This window comes from Homo sapiens, chromosome 2 (genome assembly GCF_000001405.40).
Source record: "Homo sapiens chromosome 2, GRCh38.p14 Primary Assembly".
NCBI classification, from domain to species: Eukaryota; Metazoa; Chordata; class Mammalia; order Primates; family Hominidae; genus Homo; species Homo sapiens.
In genome coordinates, this window is record NC_000002.12 from 149757011 (window position 1) to 149774656 (window position 17646).

Consider the following 17646-nt stretch of genomic DNA (forward strand, 5'->3'; position numbering starts at 1 on the left):
TACCAAAAACCCACATAAGCTTGGAAGCAGATTCAACCCCAGAACCTCCTGAAAGAAATGCAACCCTGCTGACATCTAAATTTTGGCTCTGTGAAACCAGAAGCAAATAGTCAATTGAGCCACTTTATGCCCAGACTTCTGACCTACACAATTCTGAGATAATGCATTTGCGTTGGTTAAGACCAGTAAATCTATGGAATTTCTTGCCAAAGCAATAGAAAACTAATACATAGTTTAGTACAATATAATACATAGTATAGCACAATATCAAATCTAGGAAAGTGATGTTGGGACTGTGTGTGTGTGTAGTTATATGCCATTTATCACATGTATAGAAAGTCACAGAACAACCAATGCAATCAAGATACAGAACTATTCAATCATGACAAAGATGTCCCTCATGTTACCCCTTTATAGTTATAATTCATTCCCACACACAATTCCTAATCCCTAGCAAGTACTGATCTCTTTTCCACTTTTACAATTTTTAAATTGTGAAAATGTTATATAAGTAGAATCATACAATATGTGACTATTTAAGGATGGCTTCTTCACTCAGCATAATGCCATTGAGATCTATTCAATTTGCTGCACATATCAGTAGTTCTTGCCTCCCACACACTCCTCCTACCATGACTTTTTTTTTAACTGTGGTGAAAACACACAATAAAATGTACCATCTTAACCTTATTTTTGTATTTTTAAATTGATATATCAGTTTTACATATTTTGAGGGTACATGTAATATTTTGATAGATGTATATAAAGTGTAATGATCAAATCAGGACAATTGGGATATCCATCACCCCAAACATATATCTTTTTTTATATATTGAGAATGTTACAATTCTTCCAGCTATTTTGAAATATATCATAAATTATTGTTAATTATAATTTTTCTACTGTCCTATCAAATACTAGAATGTGTTCCTTCTAACTGTATTTGTGTACTCATTAAACAACTTCTTTGGCCGGGCATGGTGGCTCACACCTGTAATCCCAGCACTTTGGGAGGCCGAGGCAGGCAGATCACCTGAGGTCAGGAGTTCGAGACCAGCCTGGGCAACATGGTGAAACCCTGTCTCTACTAAAAATACAAAACTTAGCTGTGCATGGTGGCATGCGCCTATAGTCCCAGCTACTCAGGAGGCTGAAGCATAGGAATTGCTTGAACCTGGGAGGCGGAGGCTGTAGTGAGCTGAGATAGCGCCACAGCACTCCAGCCTGGGTGACGGAGTGAGACTCTGTCTCAAGAAAAAACAAAACAACATAATTTCTTTCATCCCTTCCTCCCCAATTCTCTTCCTAGCCTCCAATAACCACCACTCTATATCTCCATGAGCTTCACTTTTTCAGCTACCACATATGAGTGAGAACATGTGAAATTTGTATTTCTGTGCCTGGGTTATTTCACTTAACATAATGACTTCTAATTTCATTCATGTTGCTGCAAATGACAGGGTTTCATTCTTTTTTATGGTTGAATAATATTCCATTGTGTATATATACCCTATTTTCTTAATCCATTCATCTGTTGATGGACACCAGGTTGATTTTATATCTTGGCTATTGTGAATAGTGCTGCAATAAACATAGGAATGCAGATATCTCTTCAATATACTGATTTCCTTTTTTGCTGGACATATACCCAGCAGTGGTATTGCTCTATCTGGTAGTTCTATTTTTAGTTTTTTGAGGAAACTTCATATTGTTTTTCATAATGGCTGTACTACTTTACATTCTCATCAACAGTATATAAAATTCCCCTTTCTCACCTTCCTTGACAGCATTTGTTATATTTTATCTTTTTGATATTAGCCGTCCTAAGTAGGGTGGTATGACCTCTCATTGTGGTTTGGATTTGTCTTTCCTTGATGATTAGTGATGTTGAACTTTTTTTTAATATACCTGTTTACCATTTGTGTGTATTCTTTTGAGAAATGTCTATTCAGGCATTCAAAATGTTTATTTTGCACATTTTTAGTTGGCTTATTGCTTATTTTTTGCTATTGAGTTGTTTGAATTCCTTATGTATTCTGATTATTTATTCTTTGTCAGATGGATAGCTTCAAGTATTTTCTCCCATTCTGTACATTGTCTCTTTACTTTGTTAATTATTTCCTTTTCCGCGCAGAAGCTTTTTTGCTTGTCGTAATCCCGTTTGTCTGTTTTGCTCTTGTTTCCTGTGCTTTCAAGGTTTTATACAAAAAAATCTTTGCCCTGATCAATGATTTTTAAAATTTATTATTATTATTATTATGCTTTAAGTTCTGGGATACATGTGCAGAATGTGCAGTTTTGTTACATAGGTATACATGTGCCATGGTAGTTTGCTGCACCCATCAACCCATCATCTACATTAGGTATTTCTCCTGATGCTATCCCTCCCCTAGCCCCTCACCCGCTGGCAGGCCACAGTGTGTGATGTTTTCCTCTCTGTATCCATGTGTTCTCTTTGTTCAACTCCCACTTATGAGTGAGAACATGAGGTGTTTTCTTTTCTGTTCCTGTGTTAGTTTGCTGAGAATGATTGTTTCCAGCTTCATCCATGTCCATGCAAAGGACATGAACGCATCCTTTTTTATGGCTGCATAGTATTCCATGGTGTATATGTGCCACATTTTCTTTATGCAGTCTATCATTGATGGACATTTGGGTTGGTTCCAAGTCTTTGCTATTGTGAATAGTGCTGCAATAAACATACCTATGCATGGGTCTTTTGTAGCACTTCTTCAGTGTTTTACTTCTAGTAGTTTCAAAGTTTCCTTTACATTAAAGACTTACATTTAAATCTAATCCATTTTTCGATTTTGTTTGTGGTGAAAGATGGAGCTCTAGTTATATTTATTAATTTCTGGGTTATAGGATTTATTTCTGGGTTCTCTGTTGTGTTCCATTGGTCTGTTTCTGTTTTCATGCCAGTACCAAGCTGTTTCTGTTACTTTAGCTTTGAAGTACATTTTGAAGTCAGGTAGTGGGATGCCTTCAGCCTTGGTTTTTTTGCTCAAAATTGCTTTAGCTATTTGAAGTTTTTTGTGGGTTCCGTATAAATTTAAAATTGTATTTTATCTCTGTGAAGAATGTCATTGGTATTTTGATAGGGATGGCATTGAATGAGTAGTATAGACTTTTTTTTTTTTTTTTTTAAGACAGAGTTTCGCTCTTGTTGCCCAGGCTGGAGTGCAGTGGTGCAATCTCGGCTCACCGCAACATCCACCTCCTGGGTTCAAGCGATTCTCTTGCCTCAGCCTCCCGAGTAGCTGGGATTACAGGCATGCACCCCCATGCCCGGCCAATTCTGTATTTTTAGTAGAGAGAGGGTTTCTCCATGTTGGTCAGGCTGGTCTCGAACTCCGGACCTCAGGTGATCTGCCCGCCTTGGCCTCCCAAAGTGCTGGGGTTACAGGCATAAGCCACTGTGCCTGGCCTACATTTTAAGAATATTAATTCTTGCAATCCATGATCATGAAATTTCTTCCCATTTTTGTATCTTCTTTAATTTATTTCATCAATGATTTTCCTTGTGGAGATCTTTCACTTCTTTGGTAAAATTTATTTTTAGGTATTTTATTTTACTTTTGTAGCTACTATAAATGGTATTGCATTCTTGATTTCTTTTTCAGATAGATTGCAGTTAATGTATAGAAATGCTACTGATTTTTATATGTTGATTTTGTATCCTACAACTTTATTAAATGTTTGCTTCTGTTCTAAGAGGTTTTTTTTGGTGGGGTCTTTAGGCTTTTCTAAATACAAAATCATACAGTCTACAAGCAAGAATAATTTGACTTCTACCTTTTCAAGTTAGATGCCCCTTCTTTCTTTCTCTTGCCTAATTGCTCTGGCTAGGACTTTCAGAACTATGTTGAATAAGTGGTAAAAATGGGCATACTTGTCTTGTTTCAGATCTTAGCAGAAAGGTTTTCAATTTTTCCTTATGCAACATGATATTAATTGTGGGCTTGTCATATGTAGCCTTTATCGTGTTGTGGTATGTTCCTTCTATACCCAATCTGTTGAGAGTTTTTATTGTGAATAGGATGTTGAATTTTATTGAACACTTTTCAGCATCTATTGATCATATGGTTTTTGTCCTTGATTCTCTTGATACGATTTATTTTGTTTACTGATTTGTGTATGTTGAATCCTCCTTTCAACTTTTTTAAGTATACATTTTTAAGTGTACAGTTCAGTAGTGTTACAAATGTTAACATTGCTGTGAAAGAGATCTCTAAACTTTTTCATCTTGCAAATCTATTTTTTATTTTTATTTATTTTATTATTATTTTTCGAGATGCAGTCTCGCTCTATCACTCAGGCTGGAGTGCAGTGGCGCGATCTCGGCTCACTGCAACCTCCGCCTCGTGGGTTCAAGCAATTCTCCTGCCTCATTCTCCCAAGTAGCTGGGACTACAGGCACGTGCCACCACGCCCGGCTAATTTTTTGTATTTCTAGTAGTGATGGGGTTTCACTGTATTAGACAGGGTGGTCTCTATCTCCCGACCTCATGATCCGCCCGCCTCTGCCTCCCAAAGTGCTGGGATTACAGGCGTGAGCCACCGCACCCGGCCGCAAATCTAAAATTCTATACCCATTAAACAAAACTCCCCTCTCCCGCTCTCTGCCACCAGCCTCTGGTAACCACCATTCTACTTTGTGTTTCTATAAATTTGACTACTATAAATACCCCAAGTAAGTGGCATTACACAGTATTTGTATTTTTGTGACTGACTTATTTCACTTAGCATAATTCCCTCAAGGTACATCCATGTTGTAAATTGTGTCATTTTTATTGCTGAGTAGGATTTTATGATATGAATATACTGAAGTTTGTTTAGCCATTCACCTGTCAAAGGGCATTTTGGTTGTTTCTAGGTTTTTACTATTTACAAATAAAGCTGATACGAACATTTGTGTACAGATTTTTGTGTGGACATATGTTTTAATTTCTCTGGGATAAATGCCCAGTTGTGCAGTTGCTAGGTTAGATATTAAGTATATGTTTAGTTTTGAAGAAACTGCTAACCTATTTTTTTGAGTAGTTTATCATTTTACCTTCCCACCAGCGATGTATAAGAGTTCTAGTGTCGGCCGGGCGTGGTGGCTCACATCTGTAATCCCAGCACTTTGGGAGGCCGAGGCAGGCGGATCACCAAGTCAGGAGATCGAGACCATCCTGGCTAACACGGTGAAACCCTTTCTCTACTAAAAATATAAAAAATTAGCCAGGCGTGATGGCGGGCGCCTGTAGTCCCAGCTACTCGAGAGGCTGAGGCAGGAGAATGGCGTGAACCCGGGAGGCGGAGCTTGCAGTGAGCCGAGATTGCGCCACTGCACTCCAGCCTGGGTGACAGAGTGAGACTCCATCTCAAAAAAAAAAAAAAAAAAAAAGAGATCTAATATCTTCACATACTCGCCAAAATTTGGTATTGTCACTGTTTTTTTAAATAAATTTTAAATGTTCTAATAAATGCATAATGATAATTCATTTTGGTTTTAATTTGTATTTCCCTAATGGCTAGTGATGAATATCTTTTCATGTGCTTATTTGACATCTGTATACCTTCTTTGAAGAAATATCTCATCGTGTCTTTTGTCTATTTTAAAATTTTATTTTTTCTTAATCTTCAAGTTTTGTTAGAGTTCTTTACATGCTCTAGATATAGGTCTCGTGAGATATTTTCTCTTAGTCTTTAGTTTGTGTTTTCATACTCTTAACAGTGTCTTTCCTGAGACAAACTTTTAGCTTTGATGAAATCTAATCAACTGATTTTTTAAAAAATAAATTTTGCTATTGATAACATGTCTAAAAACTCCCTGCTAAAGGTCATACAGATTTTCTCCTACATTATATTCTAAAAGTTTGTAGTTTTATAATTTCTATTTAAATCAATAATCCATTTAGAGTTTATTTTGGTATAAGGTTGTCATTTAGGTGAAGAGTCATGTTTTTGCCAATGGATATCCAGTGTTTCTTCAAATACCTGTTAGTCACACCCTTTTTCTCCTCTACTTTTGGTACCCTTATAATACATATATTTGATATTTCTTATGGATCTATAGGTTTCTGGGTATCTGATTATTTTGTTTTTTTTAAGGTCTATTTCTCTCTGTCCTTCAGATTGAGCAATTTCTATTGTTTTACATTAAGTTCATTGAATCTTTCCTCTGTCTTCTCCATTCTGCTATTGAGCCTATCCAGTGAGATTATTATTATTTTTTAATTTGGTCATTGGTTCTTCATGTCTCCTATTTTATTTTTTTCTTGCAAAAGATATACTTTGTCATTTGTTTCAAGCATGCTTGTAAATTACTTAATACAATATTTTTATAACGGCTGCTTTAAAATCCTTGTCAGAGATTTTCAGCATCTATGTCATCTGGTGAATTATTGACTATATTTTCTTATTTAAGCTGCAATTTGTCTGGTTCTTGTTATGACATCAAAGTGATTTTTTTACCGTACCGGCGCATTTTGGGTATTTCATTATGAGACCATGGATCTTAGTTAAATCTTTTGTTTTTGTTGGCGTCCTCTAAAGGAAGGCGTTACGTCATTACTGACAAATGGTAGTAGAGTCCAGGGTCCCTCTTCAACCTCTTGTGACACCTCAGTTGGGGAGGGATTTCTCATTATTGTTAGGCAGAGTTGGAAGTTCTGGCTCTCCATTAAGTCTTCACTGATACCATGCTGGCTGGGAAGGGCAGAAGTGCTTTATTACTGCTTCTTACTAGCTTCCACTGACACTTGTGGGTTGAGGGTATGGGGAGGTTAGCTTTATCATACCTGGGAGATGGTGAAATTTCTGATTCTCTACTATGCCTCCTCTGATACCAACCCCATTGGCAGGGCACTTCATTATGGATGGGTGAGAGTGGAATTACAGAATCATCCTTTACCCTACTGTGGTCTCTACTGATGCCACAACTGGAAAAGGGCTTGTTACCAGGGGTGGAAATAAAAGTTTCTGCTCTCCCCTTGGCCACCACTCTGGTGGGGATTGAAGGGACACTTAGTTATGGTTGTGTGCAAGTAAAAGTCTAGGCTCACCAATTAGTCTGTGTTTGTGGGGATGCATTGGAATTCAGGTTTTCCTGTGGTGTTTGGTGTGAATAGAGTGTTTACTGTCTAAAAATTTTCTGTATTGTTAGGCTGCCCCGTTCTGGTCATTTGGCTAGAAGGAGCAGGCTTTTCTTGAGACTCTGTTGCTTATGCTTGTTGGTGTGCTAGGTTGCTCTGTAGATCGCTCATTTTATTTATCCCCCAAAATTTGTTATCACTTTAGATCTTGAATATTTAGAACATAGATTTCAATAAATTGAAAATAAAAAAGCTTTATACTAATGTTATGGAAAGCTAAAGAAAACGTTTTCAAAAAGTTGTCAACTATCTGCCTGTAATCCCAGCACTTTGGGAGGCCGAGGCGGGCAGATTACGAGGTCAGGAGATCGAGACCATCCTGGCTAACACGGTGAAACTCCGTCTCTGCTAAAAATACAAAAAATTAGCTGGGCGGGCACCTGCAGTCCCAGCTACTCAGGAGGCTGAGGCAGGAGAATGGTGTGAACCCAGGAGGCGGAGCTTGCAGTGAGCCGAGATCTCGCCACTGCACTCCAGCCTGGGTGACAAAGTGAGACTCCATCTCAAAAAAAAAAAAAAAAAGTTGTCAACTATCTTAGCTATCTGAAAGACAAAACTTTACTAGGATCAAATCCTTCTATTTTATGTTAAAAAGGAATACAATCTTTTTATTTTAAGTCCATGAGTCATTAGGATTCTTTAAAGTCTTTGTTTTCTTACCCCTATTATATTATTTAAGCATATAATACTATTTCAGAAACTTTATTGATATACATCAGAAATAATGAAATAAATAAGGCAACCTAAAATAAAAACCTTCTTGGATTCAGTACTTGAAGCCAAATAAATTTTTTTTTCATTTAATATTTACAACAGACCTCCAGGATCCTGAGTGATAATGGAGAACATATGGAAGGTAGAAAGATATGGCATATCACCTCACACCATGTTCATAAGAACCTTTTCAGCAGAATATTCTCAAATATGAATTATATGCTTTTCAGGTATTTGTTTTTGATTTTCAGGTAGCAAAAGTTCTGCAACAGGTATTTAAGCTAGCACTTACAAATATTAGTCATACAGGATTCATTCACACAATAGGCAATTCATAGTTACTTTAGAGATTATTCTTTGAGGTAGGAAAAAAGCAGCAATCGATGCCAGATTCAGCCATTTAGTGCCCTTCCCCATCTCCTAAGTTTCTCCTAGAATTATCCCCATATAGGGTCAGTCATAGTTGGCTGAAAAGCGAATCACCTTATGTTGTTAAATCTTTACAGATTAGTGATTAGTGATGCAGACTTTGGCATCAGACAAAACTTGTTTTGATTCTGAATTCTAACACTTACTAGATGCTTGACCTTCAATAACTTATTTAGTCTGTCAAAACCCATTTTTCATCTAAAATGAGGCTTACCATATTTAATTAGATATACAATAATTAAACCATGAAAAGTGTTGCATTTAGCATACTATGTGATGCCTTTTATTTTTTATTTAAGAAAAAAGGAAAAATGACTGTGTTGCTTAGAATATACCTTTCTTTGGGATCTCCTAAATATCAGGTAAAAGAAAAATAGCCCCTACAGATTGGTTTCTGAAAATTTTCATTGACATTGAACCCACTTTCCTGGAGATTCAGATGTTAGTACCATGCCTGGCACTTTGAATCAACATAGCCCATAATTCTGCAAAGATAGACCAATTAAGACATATGGCAGGCAAGGGAGACACCTGTTGATGGCAGGTCAAAGCCTGTTCACTTGTTAAATGACAATGCAGTATAGTGTGGTGGTTAAAAATGTGTAAACTAAGGACAGACTATTTAAATTTGTGTTTAGGTATACCTACTTCTAGCTGTACAACTGCAGATAAGTTTACCTCACTCTCAGTATCCCAGTTTCTACATATGTCAAATGGTGTTAGTAACAGAACCTATCTCTTATGGTTGTTGTACATATTAGAAAAAAAAGTAGATATTAAGTTGGTAGAACATTATTACTTACTGTTTAACTCTGACTACACAGAATTTAATGTTACAGCAAAGCCTAGGCTGTTCTAGACCTACCAGATAATTTATTTAAGTTTTAACTTTGTAGGGAAAAAGAACGACAGAAAAAAATTTTCTGCAGCCTTTATATTTTATATTATGTGAAGATAATTTTTGCATGCTCGCTCCTTTGTTGTATTTTCATTAGAGAACAGGAGAAACTTGCCTTTCAATGTCAAAGTTGAGAAAGAAAAATTATATAATTCAACAACATGATTGTCAACTATTTTGTTTTTATTTGTTTTTGCTAACAAAAGAAACAGATAATCTCATGGGGAGAGTGTGGCTACAGTATCCACAGAGTTGACTATGAATGCATGTGTTTTTGTCTACTCCATGTTAGATGGGAGGTGGGGCTGCTTTCAGTGCTTCCCAGTATTCTCAACAGTTTGAGCCAAGACATGTCCTAAGAGAAGGCTGAGAAACTATGTGTGTAACATCTAATTATTGCTTAATAATATCTTGAGTAGAAAATGAAGAACAGTCTCTGCCTGAAAACTGTCTCTGGAATTTCCATTATCTTTTATTCCCTGCCTTACAAAAAAGCTATTTGCCCATCTGGAGCCTGGCAAAGAGAAGGGAGTCTTCTCTTACTTTTGGATAAAAAATGCCACATAAAACAACATCCCAGTGGCTGTATACAACCAATATTCTGACTATATTTATATTTTTACCTATACTTATTGGTATAGGCATAGGCTCTAAAGAGAATATCCAAGTTTTAGGCTTTTTTTTCCTTCTTGCATGCATTGCATTAAATATACACTTTATTGAAGTATGTTTAATTTTCATGTAATTGAATACACCTCTCTTAAATGTTAAATTGAGTTTTGACAAATGTTTACACTCTTATAACCACCACCATAATCATATATATGACATCTCTATCAGCTTTCCCAAAACTATCTCATGTACTTTTGTAATTAATAGCAGCTACCCTCTTTCCCCAACCAGCCACTGATCTGCTTTCTCTCTTAAAGATTGTTTTCTTTCTAAAATTTCATGTAAATGATATTTCTTTTGTAATCTTTTGGTCTGGCTTACTTAACTCGGTACACTAATTTTAAAATACATCCATGTCATTGCATGTATCAGTGGTTTGCATACTCCTTCATTTTATTTATTTGCTGCATATATTCCATCGTGTGTATGTCCTATAATTTGTTTATCCATTTACCTATTGATGGACTTGGGGATTGTTTCTAGTATGGGGCTATTATGAGTAAAGCTGACATGAACATTTATATACAAACTCTATTGCTATTGCATTTTTTTTCTCATTGGCATTGTCATACATTCTATATTTGTATGAAATACTGCATAGAAATATGGGAGGAGAGATATATATGATGTAGTTATGGCTCTCTTGCTTTTGCTATTTTATTTTCTTCTGTTTCTGAAGATGGGGTGATGTTATCCTTTAGGTATCTGGCATGTGACATCATGTAATTTGTTTGGTAGTTACTGTGTTCTCAGTTTCCCAGGACACGTGGGAGTGGCTAAGTATTTTTAATGATTGTTTCCACTTTTTATTTTATATTTCTGTTTCTCCTCTGTGAGATGGTGAGTAATGCTGTGCCTAAGAAGGGAGCGGAGGGGAGTGCTATGTGGATTCAGTATTTCCTTGAAGATCAGATTTTAATATTTTTTTTGGTGGAAGATTTTCTCCTCTTCCTCCGTTCCATCTTCAGACTTTGTTCCCTTGACAAGTTCTTACTCACTGATCCCCTGGTGTTTCCTTTGCCATTAGCCTCAGCACTGAAGCTGCTGGGAGAAGAGCCAAAAAGAAGCAGCTATAACAGAGACAAACATTTTCAACCTTCCCTGCTTTTACCTTAGCCCATGAAATACGTGTGCTCAGCCTCCACATGAGAAATGGTTTGATTCTAAGAATCATGTTCGATGGGTTCTTTTTGCCCTTCAGATTATGGTGAAATTCCAACCTTTTCTCAAATTTGGACTTTTCCTTTATTCAGTTCCTTTGAGCTTTTACAATCACTTGAATTCTTTTATTTTTTTAGCTTCTATCACAAATATTATGCTGAAATACCTTTATATTCAATATCTAAGTCTCAAATACAGTGATGTTCTTGGAAACTATGCAAACCTTCAATAATACAAACTCTGAGAATAAAGACAAATAGAAACGGCAGCATTCAGACCTTCAGCTGTGCTTGTGAAAGATTCAAAGCAGAAGTGTCTCCCAGCAAGGTAGTAATTACTGAGCTCAACAGCTTATGTTAGGTTATTAAATTAAGGCCAAATAAGATACCTAACCAAACTGCCTCTTAAAAAGAGTGAGTCATAGCCTAATTGATGTGAGAGTCAAATAAATACCATGGAACTCCAGGAGGAAGAAATTCCTTTTAATTTAAGTTCTGTTTTAATGGAATTCACTGAACCTCTTCAAAATTTTCCATAAATGGTTCAATAAAAAGCACGAAGTCTTGAAAGAGTTTAAATCATTTTTTAAAAAGGGATGGTGAAACTCTTTTCCCTTTCCTCCCACCACATGAGAGGAGGAATGTAGTGCTGTAAATTCCCCTGTAATTTTAACTGTGAGGACCTGGATCTGGAGGAGAATGTCTAGCTAAAGAGTTCAAGCATAAAGCTGCCCAAAGCATACAAGGAGTTGAGTTTCCAAGAGTTCTCATCAGGGGACAGTTGACTGGATGGGGTTTTACTCTGACACATTAAACAAATCAGTCCCAGAGTAAAGGTTTGTTCAGTCAGCCTTTGATTTTGTTTTCCTTATGTCAGAGTTTTTGGTTGGTGGTTTGTTTTTAAAAACTCACTCTCCAGGTTTTATTTATCTTACAGATTTTCCTTGCAGATTGCTTACTATTGTACATAGGTAATTTAGAAGAGTTTCTGACTAAATTTCAGACAATCCTGACTACTTCTGTAACTACAACTGGATCTGGTTAAATTATGTGTAGAGAGGGTTAGCAGAGGTCTTGTAGTGTGGTGGCATGAGTAGAATATTTGGCATCATAGAGCAGAATTTGAATTTCTTCTCTGCTACATACTAGAGGCATATTTTTAATTAAATTATTGGCACTTTCATCTTCTGCATTCTCCTCTTGAATAAGAGGATAAAACTACTTAAAAGAATATTGTTTCATTACAAGAAATGATGTATGCAGAATAAGGTATATAGGAGATGGTGACTCACACCTGTAATCCCAGCTGCTCTGGAGGCTGAAGCAGGAGGATCACTTCAGCCCAGGAATCTGAGATCAGCCTGGGCAACATAGAAAGAATCTATATAAAGAAAAAACAAAGTTTACTTCTGCCGCTATATTTTTAGAGGACTATTTCTAGCCTTCTCCTTGAAAATTGTTGATTTCCGATTGAATGTGCTCATAGTAGGTATCTGCTAGAGGCAAATTCTTCTTGCAAAAAGGCAATATATGCAATACACAATCCTCAGTTAAAACTGCGAGTCATGTAGAGTAATGAAACAGTAAAAGAAAAGATAGGAAAATAATAACAAAATAGAAAAAGACCCACTTGGCCTCCAATTAATATAGCAATCAGACTTAACACTTAAAATAGCTATGCTTAAAGTATTCAAGAAGATGAAAGAACACACTGAGGATTTTGGGAGAGGCCTAGTAACTCTAAAAATTCCAAGAGAAATTATAAAATTGGAAAACCTAATATCTGAAATTTAGAACTCAACGTATGGGATTAAAAGCAGATTAGATATAGCTGAACTTTTTTTTTTTAATGTAGCAACTGGAAGTTAGACTAGAGTAAAATATCTAGAATGAAACCCAGATAAGCAAAAAAATGGGAAAATGGAAGAGAGGGACTGAGATGTAGAGGATATGGTAAGACAGTCTCACATGCATGTAACTGGAATCCTAGAAAAAGAGGCAGAATAAGGCAAAAGCAACATTTGAAGAAGTAATGCCTGAGAATGTTCTAAATTAATAACAGACACGAATCCTTAGTTTCAAGCTGGATAGATTATATTCCCAGGCATTGTCTGGTTTCCTGAATGGCCATCAAGGGATAAGGTAACACAGTTACCCAGTTTTGGAGAGTTAGCTCTGTTCTTTCTTCCATGGAATATTCCTAGGTGTGGTTCCTTCTTGCACCCCTTATTAAGAAGTTATGTATGCCGGAAAGTAAACTCAGCTACTGAGCAGCTACCACGTTTCTTGGCAGCTTGATGTAATAGTCAGCATGGTAACACATTTTATGACATTCCTTGCATATTTTCTTGTCTCATTTCCCGTTTTCCATACCTATACTACCCTGGGTTTGCACTTCTCAAATAAAGTAATGCCACATTCATCTGTGCCACAATGTCTGCTTCTTTTTTTTTTTTTTTTTTTTTTTTTTGAGACGGAGTCTCGCTCTGTCGCCCAGGCTGGAGTGCAGTGGCGGGATCTCGGCTCACTGCAAGCTCCGCCTCCCGGGTTCACGCCATTCTCCTGCCTCAGCCTCCCAAGTAGCTGGGACTACAGGCGCCCGCCACTACGCCCGGCTAATTTTTTGTATTTTTAGTAGAGACGGGGTTTCACCGTTTTAGCCGGGATGGTCTCGATCTCCTGACCTCGTGATCCGCCCGCCTCGGCCTCCCAAAGTGCTGGGATTACAGGCGTGAGCCACCGCGCCCGGCCCCAGTGTCTGCTTCTTGAGGATTCAAACAGAGAAACACTATATAAGGAGTAAAAATGGCAAGAAAGCTACATCTAGGTACATCATAATATAACTTCAAGAAACCAGGAAAAAGAAAAGAGATTACTGTCAAAAGACTTTCACTCAGAACACACTCCTTACCAGAACCTATGGAAGCCAAAATATAATGGAGCATCTTTACATTGCTGAAAAAAAATTCATGACATCTTAGACGTTTATGCATATACAAAATGTTTTTATGGATAAGGGTGAAATATATATATTTCAGTCAAACAAGAGTAAGAGAATTTATCAATGCCATATAAAAAGGAAACATTAAAGAACTAAAGGAAATATTAAAGCTTCTATTTCTGGTAGGAGAAATATGATCCCAGATCGAAGTTTAAAAATGATAGAAGAAATAAAGAATAAAAGTTTGTTCAATATGAGGACAAATCTAAATGACAACTGTCTGTATAAAACACTATCTGAATGTTGACTATATGAAATGATAATGTCCTGGTGATTTAAAATATATATAAAATTAAGGCAGATTGTTGGGAGGTGGGTAAATGGCAACAAAGTGTTTTATTAACTTTTCCTTGTTTAGGAACAGGGCAAAAATACCAGCTACCATCATATTCTAGTGAGTAGCAGATTATAATCTCTTTGTTCACTACTAAAATACAGTAAAGAAAGCCTTTTCTTGGTGAGGGGGAGGGGAAAGGAGAGTGAACAAGATCAATCTAGATGAAGGGAAGAAAGGAGAGGAAAATGTTACGTTACAAAAGCTGGTGGGGAAAAATGGAAGTCATGGTAAATTATAGTAGATTTAGTCTCTGTTATATTAGTAATTATATTACAGGTAAATCGGCCCAATTCTATAATTAAAATGTAGAGATCAGTTGGGTAAAATGAAAGCAACCCTATATGTGCTGTTTGTAAGAAATGCCTCAAAAATGTAAGAATCCTTAAATTACAAGCAAAATTATTTAAAAAATTAATACCACAAAATGTTAACCAAGCAAAAACTGGTATTATTGTCTGACGATGATCAGACTATAAAGACTAAAGCATTTCCAGAGATAAAGAATGTCATGATGAAAGGTGATAAAAGGAACTCACTAAGAAAATGTAACTACTGTACATTTAAACATGTAGCCTCAAATATATGAAAAAGTTGACAGAATAAAAGGAAAAATAGCTTAACATATAATCATAGAGATGTATCTTTAGACACTGCTCTCAATAATTAACAAATCAAGCAGTTAAAAAATAGATTGCTTAACCCATGGATCAAAGAAAGATTCCAAACGGAAATTATGAATATTTTGAATCAAGTGACAGTGAAAGAACTTATCTAAATATTATGAGATTGCAGATAAGGAATATTTAAAGAGAAATTTAAGCATTAAATGGATATATTTAAAAAGTAAAGACTGAAAATCAACAAGCTAAGCATGTATTGCTGAAAGTTAGAAAATAAGGAAATAGGCCGGGCGCAGTGGCTCATGCCTGTAATCCCAGCAGTTTGGGAGGCCGAGACGGGTGGATCATGAGGTCAGGAGTTTGAGACCAGCCTGGCCAAGATGGTGAAACCTCATCTCTACTAAAAAATACAAAAATTAGCCAGGCGTGGTGGTGGGCGCCTGTAATCCCAGCTGCTCAGAGGCTGAGGCAGGAGAATTGCTTGAACCCGGGAGGCGGAGTCTGCAGTGAGCTGAGATCATGCCAGTACACTCTAGCCTGGGTGACAGAGCAAGACTCCATCTAACAAAAAAAAAAAAAAAAGAAAGAAAGAAAATAAGGAAATAAGGAAATGTGAAGGAAGACAATAATAAAGGGCAGAAATTAGTTTAGAAGCAAACATTAGAGAAAATTTACAAAGATAAATTTTATATATACTATACATAAAAATAAAACTTTGTCATTGAAAAGATTAATAAAATTGATAACAGTGATCATAATCATGTTTAGAAAACAATTAGGAAAAGGCACAAAATTTCTACAAAAAAATTAAACGCATCACCAATATTAGGAATGAAAACTGAACATTACTATATACTCTATAAATACTAAAAATAAGAAACTGTCAAGAACAACTAGATTTGAATCCATACAAAATATAGAGGTGATGTATATATTCCTAGAAAATCATAATTTACCAAAAGTGACAGGAAAGAAAGAGAGAATATGTGTAAATCCTGTAACTATTAAGTACCTTGAATCTTTAATTAAAAACTGAAACCTTTTTCCACATATAAAATGCTAGGCCAAGAGGATTTCACCACTTAATTTTATTAAAAATTTAAAACAAGATATAAAAAGGCTTGCACAAACATGTCTAAGAATAACGAAAAAGAAACATTTCACAACCTGTTTTATGAAGATATCTTTGACACTAAAATCTGGCAACAATAAAAGGAAGAAAAATTACAGCACAATCTCACTTCTGAATGTAGATGAAAAACATCCTAAACAAAACATTAGTAAACCATATCTAGCAACTATGAAAACAGATAATCCAACAAGTTGAGTTATTTACCTTTTGAAAAATAGCCAATATAAACTACCACATTAACAGAGTAGAGCAGAAAAATAATGTTACCATAAAATGTGCAAAAGATTTCTGATAAATCATTCATTCACGATAAAAAAAAGGTTTGGCAAATTGAGGTCAGAAGAACTCATCTTTAATCTGATAAATAGGGTCTGAATAAAACTTATTGTAAATATAATACTAAATGAAGTAGTTATAAAGCTTTCCCTTTGTTGTCAGAAATTAGGCAAAGATGGCCACTATCATCCTTACAATTCAACCATATATAGGAGATCTTATGCAATAAATAAATTTACAAAAATAGGAAAATATATAAGGTTGGGAAAATTAAAAATAAAGCTACCATTATTCTCAGATGACATGATTTTCATACAAAAGTAATCTTAAAATTACAAACAAGTTATTAGAATTAATAAGTGAGTTTAGCTACTTGCTGAATATTTGTTAAATATAAACATTTAATTACATTTCTTTTTTGGGATAAATCAATAAATTTTATTTTTTACATTTTTTGACTTTTCATTTTTTTAAAACTTTTAGGTTCAGGGGTACATGTGCAGGTTTTTTACAGAGGTAAACTCGTGTCATGGTGGTTTGTTGTACAGATTATTTCATCACCAGGGTACCAAGCCTCGTACCCAATAGTTATTTTTTCTGATCTCCTCCCTTCTCCCACCCTCCACCGTCAAGTAGACCCGTGTCTGTTGCTACCCTCTGTGTGTCCAAGTGTTCTCACCATTTAGCCCCCACTTATAAGTGAGAACATGTGGTATTTGGTTTTCTGTTCTTGCATTAGTTTGCTGAGGATAATGGCCTCCAGCTCCATCCATGTTCTCACAAAGGACACAATCTCATTATTTTTTATAGCTGCACAGTATTCCATGGTGTATATGTACCGCATTTTCTTTATCCAATCTGCCATTGACCGGCATATAGATTGATTCCATGTCTTTGCTATTTTGAATAGTGCTGCAGTGAATATACGTGTGCATTTGTTTTATGGTAGAATAATTTATATTCCTTTGCGTATGTACCCAATAATGGGATTGTTGGAATGAATGGTAGTTCTCTTTTTAGCTCTTTGAGGAATCATCACAGTGTTTTCCACAATGGTTGAACTAATTTTTACTTCCATCAATAGTGTATAAGCGTTCCTTTTCTCCATAACCTTGTCAGCATTTAATTTTTTGACATTTTAATAATAGCCATTCTGACTAGAATGAGATGGTATCTCCTTGTGGTTTTGATTTGTATTTCTCTAATGATCAGAGATATTGAGCTTTTTTTTGTATGTTTGTTGGCTGCATGTATGTCATCTATTG

At 35.8% G+C, this 17646-nt stretch overlaps 2 long non-coding RNA genes across 2 annotated transcripts in view; one reads left to right on the forward strand and one right to left on the reverse strand.

Moving 5' to 3' along the window:
- The window catches only part of MMADHC-DT (MMADHC divergent transcript), a 260877-nt gene that overhangs the window by 169653 nt on the left and 73578 nt on the right, over positions 1-17646 (forward strand). The window lies entirely within an intron of this gene.
- The window catches only part of LINC01931 (long intergenic non-protein coding RNA 1931), a 91686-nt gene continuing 84535 nt past the window's right edge, over positions 10496-17646 (reverse strand). The window contains exons 4-5 of the long non-coding RNA NR_145421.1: positions 12310-12396; positions 10496-10899 (exon numbers count right to left, since the gene is read on the reverse strand). This is a non-coding gene — a long non-coding RNA (long intergenic non-protein coding RNA 1931). The remainder of the gene's footprint in view (positions 10900-12309; positions 12397-17646) is intronic.